Raw genomic sequence first — 20168 nt, 5'->3', positions numbered from 1 at the left:
ACCTGCAGCTGAAAGCTTAACTTATATATATATATAGAAAAATAATCATAAAAGGCATTTGCAAGCTTCTAAATTGTCAGATTAATCATCTATTATAGAGTCACAGATCTCATAAGGAGAGACAGTACATTCCAGGCTTAGAAATACTATTAAAATTTACCTAAAACTATATTACTAACTCAAAATTTTTTATTACTACTTCGAATTTCTCACAGCCAGTTTGCTTGAGTGCCTCACTTATCATACATTCACTTGAAACACTGTTTTTTAAATAAAATTTATATTTTAAGTAAATTACTGGATATAACAAAATTTTCTCGTTAGCCATATCATGGGAAAATCTAGCCCCTCTATGCAGCTTTGTTATTACTCTTGTATCTTTAGAGCTGACATTAGTAGAGATGGTAGATCAAGTGTGAATTGAATTAGAGCATCAGAATCATGGTCAAAAAAAAAAAATCCAGTTACACTGAAGAGAATTTTCCACTTGGAATATATATGTGTGTATATATACATTGCCTGTATATATACAAGCTGTAAGAACAGCTTGGAATATGTATGTGTGTATGTATGTGTGTGTGTGTGTGTACATATATATACACACACCTGTACAGGAATATACATATATATGTATATATACATATATGTGTGTATATATGTATGTATCTTAATCTAGGAATATGGCTCTTGATTCAGTGTGATAAAATGTATTTAGCAGTTAAAAACCAGGGGCTACACAATTTTATGCAGAAGAAACAGCAGTGTTACCAGTGGCTTAGTGTTAAAGAGATAAAATAAATGATAGTTTCCTTGTACCAATCCTGAGCTATGTATTTAATATTTTCGTCAACACCTCATTTGGTAGAATAAAAGCATACTATATTTGATGAGGCACACAATTTGGAGATACAAGAAAACTCAGTCCTTAAAGGAAATATTCCTAAAATGGAGACATGATCAAAAATAAGAAAGAATTGCTGCAGAGTACATGTGAGGAAAGAAATAATCTGTTTAACTTCAGGAGCACATGTGGAAGAAAAAAGAATCCAGAAATCAAACAGAATATAGTAGTGATTTTGCAGCTAGTAACTATAAGCTAAATATCCTGTTCATCATTGTTTAGACCTTCATTGTATTATCATGTCTGTCATTGCACTCCACACTGTAGGAAATAAATGGGAACATTCTTCTAAAGGGTTTAAGTAAAAGGAAAAAGGTTAAATTAAAGACTAAAATTAATTAGTCTTTAAATTGGTTTAAATAATAAACTGAATGTGGAGCAAGATTGCCAAATAGGCCCCTCCACCAATTGTCGCCCCAGCAGGAACACCAAATTTTAACAAATAACTACACATAAAAGAGCACTGTCATAAGAACCAAAAATCAGATGAGCAATCACAGTACCTGGTTTTAACTTCATATTATTAAAAGAGGCACTGAAGAGGGTAGGAAACACAGTCTTAAATCGCTGACACCACCCCTTCTCAATCCCGCAGCAGCCCTGTGGCGTGGAGAGAGAATCTGTGCACTTGGAGAGGGAGAACACAGCAACTGGGAGATTTGGCATTGAACTCAGTACTGCCCTGTCAAAGCAGAGAGCAAAGCCATGCAGGGCTCAGCCAGCACCCACACATAGAAGGAGCATTTGGACTAGCCCTAGCCAGAGGGTAATCGTCCATCCGAGTGATAGGAACTTGAGTTTTGATAAACCTCACCACTGCGGGCCAAAGATATCTGGGGTCCTAAATATACTTGAAAGGCAGTCTAGGCCACAGGACTGTAATTCCTAGGCAAGTCCTAGTGCTGCGGTGGGCTTAGAGACAGTGGACCAGGGCAGCACATGACCTAGGGAGACATCAGCTAGGGCAACAAAGGGAGTGCTCGTGCCATCCCTCTGACTCCTTCCTTCTGTTTGAGAAGAGGAGAGCAAAGAGTAAGGAGGACTTTGTCTTACATCTTGGATACCTGCTCAGCCACAGTAGGATAGGGCACTGGGCAGAGTCTTGAAGCCCCCATTCCACGGCCTACCTCCCAGATGACATTTCTAGACACATCCTGGGTCAGAAGGGAACCCACTGCCTTGAAGGGAAGGAGCCAGTCCTGCAGGATTCATCACCTGCAGACTAAAGAGCCCTTGGGTCCTCAATAGCCAACAGCAATGCCCAGTTAGTATGCTGTGGGCCTTGGGTGATACTCTGAGATGTGCTGGCTTCAGGTGAGACCCAGCACATTCCCAGCTGTGGTAGCTACAGTAAAAGACTCCTTCTGCTTCAGAAAAGTAGAGGGAAAAGTAAAGGGGACTTTACCTTGTACCGTAGGTACCAGCTCAGCCACAATGGGCTAGAACGCCAAGCGGGCTGTTGGGGTGCCTGATTCCATGCCTAGGCTCTTGGACAGCTTTGGACCAGACAAGCCTTGGATAGCCTTCTGGACTTGTCGTGGGCCAGAGGGGAGCCCACTGCCCTGAAGGGTGAGTTCTGGGGTTGGCAGCATTCACCACAGCTGACTGAAGAGCACTTGGGCTTTCAGTGAATATCGGCAGTGGCCTGGCAGAGCTCTCCATGGGCTGGTGGTGGTGGTGGCAACTGGGAGTGGGAGAGGCTCCTCTGCCTGTGGAAAAGGGAGGGAAGGACTGACTTGTCTTATGGTTTTAGGGCCAGCTTAGCCTCAGTAAAATAGAACACCAGGTAGATTTCTAAGGTTTTTTCCTCCAATCCCTAGCTCCCAGACAGCATCTCTGGACCCACCCAGGGCCTGGGGTAACTTGCTTCCCTGAAGGAAAGGACAAAAACCTGGCTGGCTTCCCCACCTGCTAATTGTAGAGCCCTAGGGCCTTGAGTAAAGATAGGTGGTAGCCAGGTAGTGATTGCAGTGGGCCTTGGGCGAGACCCAGTGCTGTACTGGCTCCAGATACAACCCAGTGCAGTCCCAGTGGTGGTGGCCACAGGGTTTTTGCATCACTCCACCCCAGGATCCAAGTGGCTCAGCACAGGAGAGACTCCATTTGTTTGGGAGAAAATAAGGGAAGAGAACAAGAGTCTCTGTCTGATAATCCAGATAATTCTTCTGGATCTTATCCAAGACTACCATGTCACTACCTCTATGAGTTTTCAAGAACCACAGTGTTATTCGGCTTGGGACCCAATTCTCTTCCAATACCTGGAAAACCTTACCAAGAAAAATGGGCACAAACGTGCCCAAATTGCGAAGACTACAATAAATTCTAACTCTTCAATGTTTAAACGCCAATGACTATCCACAATCATCGAGATCATCCAGGGAAACACAACCTCACCAAACTAAATAAGACACCAGGGACCAGTCCTGGAGAAAGAGATATGCAACCTTTCAGAGAATTCAAAATAACTGTTTTGAGGAAACTCAAAGAAATTTAAGATAACACAGAAAGCAAATTCAGAATTCTATCATATAAATATAAAAAAGAGATTGAAATAATTAAAAAGAACCAAGCAGAAATTCTAGAGTTGAAAAATGGAATTGACATAGTGAAGAATGCATCAGTCTCTTAATAGCAGAATTAAGCAGAAGAATTTGTGAGCTTGAAGACAGACTACTTAAAAATACACAGAGGAAACAAAAGAATAAAACACACTTAAAAGATCTAGAAAACAGCCTCAAAAGGGCAAATCTAAGAGTTATTGGCCTTAAGGAGGAGATCGAGAAAGAGACAGGGATAGAAAGTTTATTCAGAGGGATAGTGTCAGAGAACTTCCCAAATCTAGAAAAAGATACCAACATTCAAGCACAAGAAGGTTATAGAACAGTTTTAACCTAAAGAAGACTACCTCAAGGCATTTAATAATCAAGCTCCCAGAGGTCAAGGGTAAAGAAAGCATCCTAAAAGCATCAAGAAAAAAAGAAACAACATATAATGGAGCTCCAACACATCTGGCAGCAGACTTTTCAGTGGAAACCTAAACAGGCTAGGAGAGAGTGGCATGACATATTTAAAGTGCTAAAGGAAAAACAAACAAAAAAAAATTTACCCTAGAACAGTGTATCTTGTGAAAATATCCTTCAAGCATGAAGAAGAAATAAAGACTGTCAGACAAACAAAAGCTGAGGGATTTTGTCAGCACTACACCTGTCCTATAAGAAATGCTAAAGGGAATTCTTCAGTCAGAAGGAAAAGTATGTTAATGAGCAATAAGAAATTATATGAAGGTACAAAACTCACTGGTAATAGTAAACACACAAATCAGAATATTATAACACTGTAATTATGGTTTGTAAACTACTCTTAAGTAGAAAGACTAGTTGATGAACCAATCAAAAATAATAACTAGGATAACTTTTCAAAACATGGGACAATAAGACATAAGCAACAAAAAGTTAAAAAGTCAGAGAATTAAGTGAAAATGTTTTTATTAGTTTTTTTTTGCCTATTTGTTTATGCAATCAGTGTTAAGTTGTCATCAGCTTAATAATAATGGGTTATAAGATACTTGCAAGCCTCATGATAACCTCAAATCAAAAAACATATATACAAAAATAAAAAGCAATACATTAAAATATACCAACAGAGAAAACTACCTTCACTAAAGGAAGACAGGAAGCAAGGAAAGAAGAAAGAGAAGACCAGAAAACAAATAACAGAATGGCAGAAGCAAGTCCTTACCTAATCAATAATGACATTGAATGTAAATGGACTAAAAACTCTCCTATCAAAAGACATAGAGTAGGCCGGGCGCGGTGGCTCACGCCTGTAATCCCAGCACTTTGGGAGGCCGAGGCGGGTGGATCATGAGGTCAGGAGATCGAGACCATCCTGGCTAACAAGGTGAAACCCCGTCTCTACTAAAAATACAAAAAATTAGCCGGGCGCGGTGGCGGGCGCCTGTAGTCCCAGCTACTCGGGAGGCTGAGGCAGGAGAATGGCGTGAACCCGGGAAGCGGAGCTTGCAGTGAGCCGAGATTGCGCCACTGCAGTCCGCAGTCCGGCCTGGGCGACAGAGCGAGACTCCGTCTCAAAAAAAAAAAAAAAAAAAAAAAAAGACATAGAGTAACTGAGTGGATTAAAAAATCAAGACCCAATGATCTGTTGCCTACAAGAGACACACTTCACCTATAAAGTTACACACAGACTGAAAATAAAGGAATGCAAAAAGATATTCCATCCCAGTGGAAACAAAAAAAGAGCAGGAGTAGCTATAGTTATATCAGACAAAATAGATTTCAAGACAAAAACTATAAGAAGAGACAAGGTCATTATATAATGATAAAGGGGTCAATTCAGCAAAAGGATATAATAATTATAAATATATATGCATCCAACACTGAAGCACCCAGATACATAAAGGAAATATTATTAGAGGTAAAGAGAGAGAGAGACCCCAATACAATAGTAGCTGGAGACTCCAACATACCACTGTCAGCATTGGACAGATCTTTCAGACAGAAAATCAAAGAAACATCAGACTTAGTCTATACTGTACAACAGTGAATCTAACAGATATTTACAGAACATTTCATCGAATGACTGTACAGTACACATTCTTCTCGGCACATAAATCATTCTCAAGGATAGACCATATATTAGGCCACAAAATAAGTCTTATTCAAAAACTGAAATAATATTAAGCATCTTCTCTGACCACAATCAAATGAAACTACAGAATTTAGTTTGCTACTATTTTTTTGAGGATTTCTGAATCAATATTCATCAGAGATACTGGCCTGTAAATAACAAGAATAATTTTGGAAACTATACAGAGACATGGAAATTAAACAGTATGCTCCTGAATGACCAGTGAGTCAATGAAGAAATTAAGAAAATTGAAAAATTTCTTTAACAATGGTGAAAACGAAATATACCAAAACCTGTAAGATACAGTGAAAGCAGTACCAAGAGAGAAGTTTATAGCGCCTGCATCAAAAAAGAAGAAAAACTTCCAATAACCTAATGGTGCATCCTAAAGAACCAGAAAAGCAAGAGTAAACAAACCCAAAATTAGTAGAAGAAAAGAAATAATAAAATAATAAATAAAATAAAAATCAGAGCAGAAATAAATAAATCAAACTGAAATGAAGGAAAGAATACAGTCATCAAAATGAAAACTTGGTGTTTTGAAAAGACAAATAAAATTGACCAACTTTTAGCCAGACTAAAAAAAAAAAAGAGAAGACCCAAATAAAATCAGAGATGAAAAGGTAGACATTACAGCCAATACCACTGAAATTCAAAGGATCATTAAGTGACTACTGTGAGCAACTAACTATATGTCAATAAATTAGAAAATCTAGAGAAAATGGGGAAATTTGTAGACACATACAACCTACCAAGATTGAACCATGAAGAAATCCAAAACCTTAACAGACCAGTAACACATAACAAGATAGAAGCTGAAATAAAGTTTTCCAGTAAAGAAAAGGCTAGGACCTCGTGGCTTCACTGCTGAATTCTACCAAACATTTAAAAAAGAACTAATACCAGTCCTTCTCAAACTATTCCAAAAAAATTGAGGAGGGAAGACTTCCAAACTCATTCTATAAGGCCAGTATTATCATGATACCAAAACCAGACAAAGATCAAAAAAAGAAAACTACAGGCCAGTATCTCTGATGAATATTGATTCAGAAATCCTCAACAAAATAGTAGCAAACTAAATTCAATGATACATTAAAAAGATCACTCATCATAACCAAGTTGGTTTTATTACAGGGATGCAAGGATGGCTCAACATGTGCGAATAAATCAGTGTGATACATTATATCATCAGAATGAAGGACAAAGACCATATGATCATTTCAATTGATGCTGAAAAAGTATTTGATAAAATTCAATATTCCTTCATGAAAAAATCCTTAACAAGCTAGATATAGAAGGAACATCTTACCTCAACATAATAAAAGTCTTATATGACAGACCCAAAGCTAGTATCATAGTGAATGGGGAAAAACTGTAAGATCTGGAACATGACAAGGAAACCCATTTTCACCACTGTTATTCAACATGATAATGGAAGACCTAGCTAGAGCAATCAGACAAGAAAAAGAAATAAAGGGCATCCAAATTGGAAAGGAAGAAGTCAAATTATCTTTGTTTAATTTATCATAAGATTATAGGATCTTATATTTTGGAAAACCTAAAGACTCCACCGTAAAACAATTAGAACTGATAAACAAATTCAGTAAAGTTGCAGGATACAAATCAACATACAAAAATCAGTAGCATTTCTTTTTTTTTATTTTTGAGACAGAGTCTTGCTCTGTCACCCAGGCTGAAGTGCAGTGGTGCAATCTTGGCTTACAAAAATCAGTAGCATTTCTATATGCAAACAGTCTGAAAAAGAAATTTTAAAAGTAATTCCATTTACAGTAGCCACAGATAAATACCCAGGAATTAACCAAAGAAGTGAAAGATCTCTACAATGAAAACTACAAAACATTGATGCAAGAAATTGAAGGGAACACACAAAGGTGGAAAGATATTCCATATTCATGGATTGGAAGAATCAATATTGTTAAAATGTCCATACTACCCAAAGTAATCTATAAATTCAGTGCAATTTCTATGAAAATACCAATGACATTCTTCACAGAAGTAGAAAAACAATCCTAAAATTTATATGGAACTACAAAAGACCCAGTATAGCCAAAGCTATGCTGAGCAAAAAGAACAAAACTGGAAGGGTCACATTATCTGACTGCAAATTATACTACAAAACTATAGTAACAAAAACTGCTTGGTATTGACATAAAAATAGAGAGATAGATGAATGGAACAGAATAGAGAACCCAGAAACAAATCTATACACCTATAGTGAACCCTTTTTCAACAAAAGTACCAAAAACATACATTGGGGAAAAGACAGCCTCTTTAATAAACGGTGCTGGGAAAACTAGATACCCGTATGCAGAAGAATGAAACTAGACCCCTGTCTCTCACCATGTACAAAAGTCAAACCAAATGGATTAAAGACTTAGATCTGAGATCTCAAACTATGAAACTACTACAAGAAAACATTGGGGAAACTCTCCAGGACTTTGGTCTCTGTAAAAATTTCTTAAAACCCCACAAACACAGGCAACCAAAGCAAAAATGAACAACTGAGATCACATCAAGTTGAAAAGCTTCTGCACAGCAAAGGAAACAATCAACAAAGTGAAAGACAACCCACAGAATGGGAGAAAATATACAAGAGATTAATAACCAGAAGGAGCAAAAAAAACCTAATAATCTGGTTTTATTTTATTTTCATTTTTTTTATTTTTATTTTTTGAGACAGGATCTCGCTCTGTCACCCAGGCTGGAGTGCAGTGGCATGATCTCAGCTCACTGCAACCCCTACCTCCCAGATTCAAGCATTTCTCCAACCTCAGCCTCCCAGGTAGCTGGGATTACAGGTGTGAGCCACTGTGCGTGGCTAATTTTTTTATATTTTTTAATAGAGATGGGGTTTCGCCATGTTGGCCAGGCTGCTCTTGAACTCCTGGCCTCAAGTGATCCATCTGCCTCAGCCTCCCAAAGTGCTAGAATTACAGGCGTGACCCACACGCTTGGCCTAATAATCAGATTTTAAAATGGGCAAATGATTTGAATAGATCTTTCTCAAAAGAAGACATAAAAATGGCAATCAGTTATATGAAAAGGTGGTCAATATCATTGATCATCAGAGAAATGCAAATCAAAATACAATGACGTATCATCTTACTCCAGTGAAAATGGCTTATATCCAAAAGACAGGCAATAACAAATACTGGCAAAGATGTGGAAAAAAGGGAACCCTTATACACTGTTGTGGGAATGTAAATTAGTACAGCCACTATGGAGAACCGTTTGGAGGTTTCTCAAACAACTAAAAATAGAGCTATCATAGGATCCAGCAATCCCACTGCTGGGTATATACCCCAAAGAAAGGAAATCAGTATGTTGAAGGGATATACATACACCGATGTTTGTTGCAGCACTGTTTGCAATAGCCAGGATTTGGAGGCAACCTAAGTGTCCATCAGCAAACGAATGGATAAAGAAAATATGGTACTTATATACAATGGAGTATTATTCAGTCATTAAAAAGAATGAGATCTTGTCATTTGCAACAACATGGATAGACCCTGGAGATCATTATGTTAAGTGAAATAAGCCATGCACAGACAAACTTTGCATATTCTCATTTATTTGTAGGAGCTAAAAATTAAAATAGTTGAACTCATGGAGATAGAGAGTAGGAGGATGGTGACCACTAGAGGCTGGGAAGGGTTGCAGGGGTATAGGGGAGAAGTGGGATGGTTAATGGGTATGAAAAGTAGTTAGAATGACTAAGACCTAATATTTGATAGCATAACAGGGTGACTATGGTCAATAATAATTTAATTGTACATTTTAAAATGAGTACAAACTAAAAGCACAATTGGATTGCTTGTAACACAAAGGATAAATGCTTGAGGGGATGGATACCCCATTTATCATGATGTGAATATTACACATAGCATGCCTATATCAGTACCTCATGTACCCCACAAATATATATACCTACTGTGTACCCACAAAAATTAAAAAATTTTGAGTTTAAAGAAAAACAGTGAGGAAAAATTAAAGTAGTGTATTCATTCTCTCATTTCATGAACATTTATTGAGCACACAGTATATGCAAGACACTGAGCTAGGCACTGGATGAAAGACGTAGTACTTGCCTACAAGAAGTTTATAGTCTCAGTGGAAGAGATAGATAAGAACATAAAGTATGTGTTGTGCCACAGTAGTAGAAAAGAGGAGCACCTAACCGTACTTGAGGAGTCAGGGGAGGTTTCCTTAAGAAGGTGAACTGAGTCTTAAAGGTTGGGGGATTTCATTTTCCTGCAGGATTCCAGACTAATAATAATCTCAAAATTCTCCCACCACAAAACACTCAGAAATGCAGAATAAAATATAATAAGCACCTCTTTAAATGCATAGACAAGCTTACAAAAAAGCAACTCAACTCTCCAAGGGCCAAAATAAGCATAGCTAAAAACAAAATAGGAAGCTTTAAAATAGTTTTTTAAATAAACAAAGCTTTAAAAACAAAGTGGTAAGTTTAAACCAACACTGGGCTGCTCTGAAAGGATTTGGCAGTCTCAATACCTATGGGGTAGAGATCTCAAATAATACCAACCACCCTCAGAGTAGACTGAAAAATTCTACCCACTGACAGAATTGGCATAGAGAGTTTGTCTTAGCCTGTGCTCCAAGTCCGGGGTTGGGGTGGCGGTGAAGGTGGGTTTGCTCTTTTTAAATTTGCACTTCTTAAGTTTTCAAAAATCCCGCTAAGAAGTCAACTAAGTGATCTTAAGCTGATAATATATCTGGGATGCTTGACAGAAACAAAAGCAAAATTATTCTGGAGGGACAGACCCTCAATCTAGGGAGCACAGTACAGATTTTTTCAAAGATAAAACCCCCCTTAAAATAAACTTATAGTCCAGAATCAAAAAGCATATAGGAATCAATAAGTAGGTGTCAGCCAGCACAACAAACATCACTCTGCTTCCCCTCCCTCAGTTCAAATAAAAGAAATATAGGGACTATAAAATAAGTCAATTTAAAATGTTCAAATATATCAAAGAATTTTTTAAACATGAGAAAAGAGCAAGGTTTTATCTTTAAAATGTTGAGGGACAGTTTCCAGACAGAGCAAGGAGCATTCACAGCTATGGGAGTCCAGATAAATATTCCTTTTTTTTCTTTCTTTCTTTTTTTTTTGGGGGGGGGGGGCGGAGATGGAATCTTACTCTGTCACCCAGGCTGGAGTGCAGTGGCGCTATCTCAGCTCACTGCAACCTCCATCTCCTGGGTTCAAGCAATCCCGAGTAGCTGGGACTACAGACACAAGCCACCAACGCCTGGCTAATTTTTTGTATTTTAGTAGAGACAAGGTTTCATCATGTTGCCCAGGCTGGTCTGGAACTGCTGAGCTCAGGCAATCCGCCCACCTTGGCCTCCCAAAGTGCCAGGATTACAGGCATGAGCCACCGCTCCAGGCCCCAGATAAGTATTCTTATAGGAATTGGCAGTCACAAAATTGGGAAGAGAAGGTATTGGGAGAGAGATGAGCAAGGCTTGGTTCATGAAATGCCTTGCATTCTGGGTTAGTGAAGACTCTTGTTTACAAGTGACAAAAAGATCACACTTGTCTAGGGAGTATTTTGCTGTTATTGGCTTACCTAACCAAGAAAAAATATTGTTGAAATGACAAGAACCAGAGACCCTCATTCTCTCTCCATGTCTCACCACTACTTTTTTCTTTGTGAATACTTATTCTCTTCTACTGCAGACTGATTTTCACCCCAAAGTAGAGAACATTGCCACTTGCAGTTTTTGGCTCATACCCTTTTCTAATTTTCTTTCTTTTTTATTGTGGTAAAATATATTTGGAATTTACCATTTTAACCATTTTTACATGTACAGTTCAGTGGCATTAAGTACATTCACATTATTGTGCAGTTATCACCACTGTTCATCTCCAGAACTTTTCCACCATCCCAAACTGAAACTCTGTACCCATTAGACAAGAACTCCCCATGCTTCCCTCCTCCCTGCCCCTGGTAACCACTATTCTATTTCATGTTCCTATGAATTTGACTACTCTAGGTATCTCTTATAAATGGAATCACACAATATTTGTCCTTTTGTGTCTAGCTTCTTTGACCACACTCTCTTTTTTAAAATTGACACATAATAATTGTACGTATTTATAGGGTTGCACCCTTTACTTTTGATCAGAGAGGAAAGAACCTTCTGTGTGCGCACACTTCTATCTTATAGCTCCATTTTGAAAAATTTTGAAAGAAAACTAATTGTCTTGGCTTGAGTAACTTGCATACTTTCAGACAAGGAAGATGACCAGTGCTGTGATTTGCCCATTTTGGGTTGCATGACCACCTTAGTATCTTCCCCAGTTCTCCGTGTAAACATACCTTCTTATAGAGTCCTTTCTATCTAAAATAGCACCCACATCAGTCTCGTCTCTCACTCTGTTTTGATTGTTTTCCAGCGTACTCATCACTTCCTAGTATTAAATATATTTATTTGCTTATTGATTCCCTAGCCACTACAACATAAGATTTATAACATTAGAGACCTCTGTCTCATTCATTTCATTGTTTCCAGTGCCTAGAACAGTGACTGGAACATAATTGGAGCTCAGTAACTATTTTTAACTAATTAATTAGAAATTGAGGTAGAGATATAGATTTAGTATTCACTGGTAAATGTGATTAAAAGAAATAGATTATGCTTTCTTCCACCTCCATAGTCAAGATGAAGAATTAGAAATTGAAAGGAAATGAACTTTAAGTATATATGAACACAGTGATTAAACATGAAAGTTATGCACAAATAGTGAAAGAACTATGCTTTCTAAAGATACATAATTGTGGAAAATACAACCTTGCATGATGGATGCCTAAGTAGAATCCTGAAATTGCAGTAGATTAAGCTTTTTCTGAAATTGCTTCCTAATGCAGGACATTCACATTTAAACTATAAATGTGAATGCATAAACCCATCAGGAGTTTGCATGTATGTGTGTGTGTGTGTGTGCGCACTCACGCACACACACACACACTTTCATTGATTAACATTGGAAGCTGACAAATATAGATATGAGTCTTAAGCCATAATGGTCAGTACTGTTCTTTTGAAATTGCCCTTAGCTTTCCCAATCAAGACAACATTCTCTTGAGCAGAACTTCACATTGTCAGGCTGCCCTGCATAAGAATCACTCAGATACTATTCACTATAGCTGCCTTAGCTCTCTTCCCCTACCTGTCCTTAATCTCAAGGGCAGGGCAGGTCAAAGGGGAGCAAGATAAAGGTTGTATCTAAAAAGACAAGAAAAAAAAGTAGGCAAAAATGATCTCTTGTGTTTCCTGACTTTTTCATGCTGCTTTCCATCTTTTACTTTTCTTAGAGTTTATTATCTTTATGATGCTTCCTGGACATCCCAAACTTAGCATAGTTGCATCTTAGCCAAGTGTACCCTACCCTGACTCCCTGCTAAAATTACTTCTTTCATATCTCCTCTCTCCCATGTAATAAGCACCTTACCTCCAAATCCAATCAGACCTTCATTCCACAGTAGGAAAACAAACTACATTGCCTCAAGGTTGTCCCCCTGCCATGACTTTTTTCTTACTACCTATCTGAACCATAAAATAAGTTCTCTGTGGCAGCTTCTTGCTTTTCTTTCTAGGAGATAAATAGGGAGACCCATTGCCAAAAAGTTCCAGAGCCAACCTCCACCCCTACATTCAGCTGTTAGGAAGTGGGAAAAGCAGATATGGGTACCCAAGAATAGTTTGGCTGGCATAACATCACCCTTCCAAGTTATTCAGATTAACAGTTTCACATTTATTCTCAATTACCAGGGGCATGACGGCCATGCATATTACAAAGTGCTTATGAAGTTAATTACTAAATTGTGCTTTTCACTTGTGTACTTTGATTATTTGTTGCTCATGTAATGTGATTAGCTGCTCTCAGTTTTAAGAGGTGGCATTGCTAAAAAGTACTCAACTGCACTACAATTAATAGTATATATAGTTTTCTTGGTTTTAAAGGAAAATAACTGAAATGTTGGAATTTCCTAAGTATTCTATGGCAACTTTTGGCTTTCTTAACAACTTCTGGGACTTTGTATGCTTTGAAATCACATTACTTTATGATATTTGATCTGGTTATGAAACCCGGTGTTATTAGCCTGGAATTTGTGAGTCTTTGAAAAGGGATAAAAAGCTATCCACTATAAATCACAGAATCGCTAGATAGATTTGGGGACAAGCTTAGGAAAAAAAAAATCCTAATACTGGCCAAGATAAATGAGACATAGTGTCAATTTTTCTGCCATGAACTAGGTAACCAAACTGCCTCACTTTAAGAATTTCTCTTTGGATTATTACCTGCAGATATCTGGAGTAACTGGTCATCCTGTTACTCCATTGTAGCTGCTACAGTGCACAAGTTATCATTCTTTATTCTTCAGGATGGTGAGCTTGGTCAAAAGTTACGGTGAAGCTCAGTTAACTGACTTCTTTTCCTAAGTCTGATAAACCTATGGAACTTTGGTATATCAGATAAATTTGCTACAGTTTATGTACTTTCATACTTTTGCAATTACTTAGACTTCTAAAATGTATTATTTGTTTCTTTTATAGGACAATGAAGGCCAAACAGCTCTACATTATGGTAAGAAGTTTCTAAATTATTAAGTAATCATATTTGAACATATTCTCTATTTGTTTATTTCAACTTTGTCCATTCCTATATAGTGCTTAGATAGGTACCTGGCAGCTAGCAGAGATACAATAACTTTTTGTTCAAAAAAATGTATTAGGCCGGGCGTGAGGGCTCACACCTGTAATCCCAGCACTATGGGAGGCTGAGGCGGGCAGATCACTTGAGGTCAGGAGTTCAAGACCAGCCTGGCCAACATGCTGAAACCCTGTCTCTACTAAAAATACAAAAATTAGCCAGGGCTGATGGCGGGCACCTGTAATCCCAGCTACTCAGGAGGCTGAGACAGGAGAATCGCTTGAATCTGGGAGGTGGAGGTTGCAGTGAACCGAGATTGCACCACTGCACTCCAGCCTGGGTGACATAGTGAGACTCCATCTCAAAAAAAAATATTAATAACTTAGTAAGTTGAAGATGTATTAAAATTCTTATGGTCACATTTATAATAAATTGTTTCTATACTAGCAACAGAAATAGAGACCGTGCTAGCCCCCTTTGAAAATTCATTATTTCATTCTTAGTTCTATTAATGAGTGACAAGAAAGATGTTAAAATCATGGTCACTGTAAAATCTAGCATCTCTCCTACAAGAAATATTTTCTTGATCTAATTGAAGAAAAAGAAATTTGATTTTTTAACTAATTTCTCCTACTAACTGATTAGCTTAAGTAATCTGTAAAATAGAAAAAAATCTGTAAGATGGAAATAATATGGCTCTTAGAGAGCTGCTTGGTAAATTCAGTGAGATAAAAGATATTACAGTATTTTGTAAAATGTAAAGTCCTAGTAAATATGATTTAAAGAGTCTGTGTAGAGTTGGGCGCAGTGGTGCACGTCTGTAGTCCCAGCTACCAGGAGGCTGAGGCAGGAGGATCACTCAAATCCAGGAGTTTGAGGCCAGCCTGAGCAACACAGACCCTGTCTCCAAAGAAAAAAGATTCTATTTGGGTGTGAATATGGCTGAATGAAAGACAGCCATCGGTATTTACACCACATTATGGATCAACCTTTTGGGAAGGAATACACTTGCCAGTCTTGGCAACCTTAGACTGCGATTCAGTAACAAGTGGCTCAAATGACCCTGGACACTTTTGTCTACTGCTTTGGACTTTAAATTTGCACTCAAGTGTTCAAAAATCCCAAGCTAAAAAATCAACTAAGGTATTTCAAGCTGATAGTGTTTCTGGGATGCTTGGCGGAAACAAAAGCCAAATCATTCTGGAGGGATAATGCTGGAGAAACCTCGCTGTGCTATCTAGGAGTCTTAACCTATTGGACTAGCTATTATACTACCTACATATGTCAGCCTAATAATTGAGGTTGAAATGTCTGTCACCAACTGCCAGCCTCAACTCACTTATGAATTTGTCTAGCATAACCTGTTTACCAAAACCAGCAGGAGAAAGGAAAATTGTGAGTCAGTCTTACTTATGAGCATAGATGCAAAAATCTGAAATAAAATATTAGCAAATGAAATCCATCAACATATTTTTAAAAGAAAGAAAGATATGTGCTGACCAAGTTGGGTTCATCCCAGGAATTCAAGGATGACTTAACATTTAAAAAATCTATTAATGTAACCTTCCACATCAGCAAATTAGGTAAAAAAACTGTATGATCAAATCAAATGCAGAAAAAAGCATTTGAGGATGTTCAACACTCATTTTAAGAGTGGTAAAGTAGTTAATTAAGCCTGCTCGTAAGCCAGACTTCTGCGTTCAAATTCTAGTTCTACCCCTGACCTGGGATAAAATACTTAACTTACACTGTACCTCAGTTTACTCATGATGAAATAGGGATAGTAACTTCAGAGATTTGTTATAATGAGTTAATCTGTGTAAAGTGCTTGGAACAATGTCTGACACCTGGCATATACTCAATAAATGTTAGTTAATTATTTTTATGATAAAAGCTCTTAAACTAGGAATAGAAGGAGACTTCCATGGCCTGATTTACTCATCAAAAACCCAGAGCAAACATTATTATTAAAGATGGAATGTGTGAAGCATTTTCTTTAAAATCCGAAACAAGAAAAACATGCATACCATAACTGTGTCTCTTCAATACTGTATTAGAATTGTAGATAACACAAAATGAAAAACAAAATAAATAAAAGGTACATGAGATGGATGAAACAAAATCATCATCATTCTCAAACAATACAGTTAGCTACACAGAAATCCAAGAAACTCTACAAATTATAAAAACTATACAATTTAGCAGGGATGCTGAATGCATTAGTTTTTTTAAGTTTATTCTTAAGCATTATTGTAAAAAGCTAAAAAAAATTTAAAACATTTTTCCAATATTATTTACAATAGCAACAAAATCCTAGGACTCAACCTAACAAAAGGCACGTAAAACCTTCATAGAAAAAAATAGAATTTTTAAAAGACATTTTTAAAGGACCTAAGTAGAAGGAGAAATAATCTACGTTAATGAATAGGAAGACTCGATTTCATAAAGATCATTTCTGCCAAGTCAAACTACAAATTCAGAGAATTTTCATAAGAATTCCAGCAGATACTTTGTGGAATTTAACAAGCTTTGCCCTAAAATTCATATGGAAGATAAAGGAGCCAGGAATATCTAAGGCAATTTGAAGAAAAACAAGAAAGAAGGACTTGTTCTTCCAAATATCAAGATGTTATCTTACAGCTATAATAATGAAGGCAGAGACTGACTTCCAACATGACAATGTGAGAAGCTCCACTGATATGCTCCCTTGTCAAACTGGTGAAAATTATTTTTGGAACTACAGACATTTAATAGCTTCTAGAAATGGTACTAAGGACAAAAAGCAAATGAAGAGACATCTATTCAAGAAAATCTACAAAAATTTGGTAAGAAGGAAAACTTTGTGATATTTGAACCAAGATTACTCCCTCCTTTCTGTCTTCCCAGGTCAGTGATGTGGAGACTCCACTCCACAATGCTGTAGCCAAGAACACAGAGCTCCCTCTCCTCCCAGCTGCTAGTCAGAGGGCTTTCTTCCTGGGAGAAGCAGGACAAACATTTTCTGCCTTGCCTCCAGCTACCTTTTGCTAAGGCTGTCCTGGGCAAATATGGTCCCAACTACTTGAGAGGCTGAGGTGGGAAAATCACTTGAGTCCAGGAGTTGGAGGCTGCAGTGAGTCATGATTATGCCACTGCACTCCAGCTTGGTTGACAGAGTAAGACCCTGTCTCAAAAAAATTAAAAAGTAAAAGCAAAAAAGAAAGAACTATGAATAGTCTGAGATTGTATTTTGCTTACAAGCTAGCAAGTTAGCCTGACAGTTTGATGGTTGCTGGCAAAAGACACAAAACTTTTGGATCAGAGACGAAAGACTTTCTTATCCATGGCACAGCTAGCAGCATGAGCTTCATGTTTTTGTCATTTCCTCTTGCCTCCAAAGTCCCATCAGAGCGATGCAGAGAGGCCCACGTAGATACTACACACACCGTGTGTCATGGCTTAGGAATCCTAATCTTAGGGAACTCTCATCTTTTATAATGGGTTGCAAGCAAACCTTTGCTCAGGAGGAGGTATTATGTTTATTATTCTGGATGGTAAACAAACCTGCCCTCTGTTCTGGAAAGAAACACTATCTCTGTTGTCAAATCTGTTCATTACACAAACATCCTTGAAAGTTAGTCTAGAACAAAAGCTGTCTTATGTCTTCTGCACATCTTATGTACCTTTGTACATAAGACGTGCAGAAACACGAGAGACCCTTCAAGAATTGTCTCCCAACAATAATTAATTGGGGAATGCAGATTAAAACATTTAGATACAACTTCATACCGATCAGATTGGCAACATGTAAATGTCTACAAATATTAATATTAGGCTGTAGAACAACAAGAATTCTCATACATTGCTGATGAGAGTGTCAACTGTTACAGCCATTTTGAGATCAGTTTAGTAAGATTTAGTAAAGTTCAAGGTACACATACTCTACAACCCAGTAATTCTGGTTCTAGGTACATACCAGAGAAAAACTCCTGAACATCTGTATAATGAAACATGATTTAGAACATTTATTGAAGCATATTTGTAGTAGTCAACAACTTGTTTTATTAGCCTCTCTATTCCTCTGCATGCCATGCTTGTAATATTTGTTAATTAAAATTGCACATATATACATATATGCACATACAAATACATATTTTATGGTATCAAATGCCTTTGAAAGAACCATTAAAATGAGCATATAAAATAGTAAAATAATAAACTATTTAATCTGTAAGCCCCTGTCTATAAATAGGCCTCTAGTAGGGTTTTTTTGTTTGTTTGTTTGTGAGTCAGTGTTTCACTCTTGTCGCCCAGGCTAGAGTGTAGTGGCGCAATCATGGCTCACTGCAGCCTTGAACTCCTGTGCTTGAGCAATCCTTCTGCCTCAGCCTCCCAAGCAGCTGGGACTACAGGCACGCACCACTACACCTGGCTAAGTTATTTTGTTTTTGTTGAGACAGGATCTAGCCCAGGCTGGTCTCAAATTCTTGGCCTCCAGCAATTTTCCCACATCAGTCTCCCAAAGCATATGTAGTAGTTATTTTTTTTTATAAATGAGGAAACCAAAACTCAAAGAGATTAACAAGCTTGCCTAAGGGAATTGGAAATTCAAACCCATGTGTCTATATTTACTAGGAAAAGACAGAAAAATTAATGCTTTCCCATACCTCCTTCCACAGCATTCACATCACTTACTCCTCAAACATGTTTATATAGTATTTCTGTCATATGATTCCTCTTGTATTATCAAGAGCTGGCTGTTCTAAACCCTAATTTTCCACCCAGAAAAAAATTTGTCTCAGCCACCCCCACAGCTATGATGGCAATCTGGGATAACCAGGCTTAAGTCAAATAACCGGAGAGTCAAAAAAGAGGAAAAATAAACTCTTCACAGTGGTTGTGAGGCCTTCAGCACAAAATTCAAGGCTACTCATTTTTCCTGATGCCTTGCTTCAAGATGCCAGCCTTCTTTTACTCCACAATATTTGCCCTACGGTCTAGAGTTCACTGCTCTGCTTATAAAGACAACCACTGCCAGTGCACCCACATGCCCTGCTGAATCAGCTCTTATTTCCATCCCCTTATTCCTTCTTTCATTCCCTCATTCAGGTGTTTTTCAGTGCCTTCTCTGTGGCATGTGCTGTGTTTTCCTTTTATTTCTCCCTTCCAGAAACTGTAGCAACAGCTAAACCAGATTGAATGTGCTCTTGAGAATTTAGATGAGTCACTCTGTCATCCCTAGTTAACCATTAGGAGTGAATGCCTTTATGGATGTAGGAATGTGTCCATTTAAGTTTGATATATTTAAAATGCATTTATAGATAGCAACAGGGTAGGGATTTTTCAAAAAGCATTTCTGACTGGATTCAAATAAGCTCTGTTTTCTTTATGTACTGGTACAGAAAAATCTCTTAACATATATTGTTGAACAAAAAGGTTAAGGTGTAGCACGGTGTATATAGTGTGCTGCCATGAATATATCTATACATACTTGCTAGTAAATATATATCTCTGGGAGGATACATAAAAAGCTAATAATGTTAATTGCCTTAGGGAAGAGGAGCTGTGGGGCTAGAAATACACGAATAAGATGAAAACCTTTTTCTGTAAACCCTTTTATAACTTCTGTATTGGACCTATATGCATATATTATCTGTTCAAAAGTTAAATTATTTTAAAGGTTCTATTAGTACTATGAATATGATACACCTTAATTATATTTCATTCATTCAACAAATATTTGAATGCCTACTATTTGCTGGATAAAATACATCAAACATTCTTTTTAAGATAAGAGATGTCCCCAGATTCATTTACTTCCCACCCAATAAAGAACCCAGTATCTATAGCGGTAAATGGGTGAGCAAACACTCTAACTGGGAGAACTCTGAGCTTGGATTTCAATGCCAACGCAACCTGGAAATAAGACCTCTT

At 37.6% G+C, this 20168-nt stretch overlaps 1 protein-coding gene across 7 annotated transcripts in view, besides 3 other annotated features; it reads left to right on the top strand.

Annotated features, from left to right (window-relative positions):
- Positions 1–20168, top strand: part of ACBD6 (acyl-CoA binding domain containing 6) — a 232925-nt gene that overhangs the window by 173697 nt on the left and 39060 nt on the right. For all 7 annotated transcript variants that reach the window (XM_047432083.1, XM_047432080.1, XM_047432082.1 and 4 more), the window contains exon 7: positions 14159–14189. In XM_047432083.1, coding sequence (XP_047288039.1) covers positions 14159–14189 — 31 coding nt within the window. The remainder of the gene's footprint in view (positions 1–14158; positions 14190–20168) is intronic.
- Positions 1792–2292: an enhancer, noted in NCBI's record as "H3K27ac hESC enhancer chr1:180295724-180296224 (GRCh37/hg19 assembly coordinates)". NCBI's record gives its function as "activates a minimal SCP1, AML or CMV promoter by ChIP-STARR-seq in naive H9 embryonic stem cells {active_cell/tissue: H9 hESC(naive)}" and the evidence as "EXISTENCE:reporter gene assay evidence [ECO:0000049][PMID:30033119]".
- Positions 16741–16941: a silencer, noted in NCBI's record as "peak482 fragment used in MPRA reporter construct". NCBI's record gives its function as "represses an SCP1 promoter by STARR-seq MPRAs in K562 erythroleukemia cells {active_cell/tissue: K562}" and the evidence as "EXISTENCE:reporter gene assay evidence [ECO:0000049][PMID:32103011]".
- Positions 17281–17481: a silencer, noted in NCBI's record as "peak481 fragment used in MPRA reporter construct". NCBI's record gives its function as "represses an SCP1 promoter by STARR-seq MPRAs in K562 erythroleukemia cells {active_cell/tissue: K562}" and the evidence as "EXISTENCE:reporter gene assay evidence [ECO:0000049][PMID:32103011]".

This window comes from Homo sapiens, chromosome 1 (assembly GCF_000001405.40).
Source record: "Homo sapiens chromosome 1, GRCh38.p14 Primary Assembly".
Taxonomy (NCBI): Eukaryota; Metazoa; Chordata; class Mammalia; order Primates; family Hominidae; genus Homo; species Homo sapiens.
This window is presented reverse-complemented; position numbering and strand designations above follow the sequence as displayed.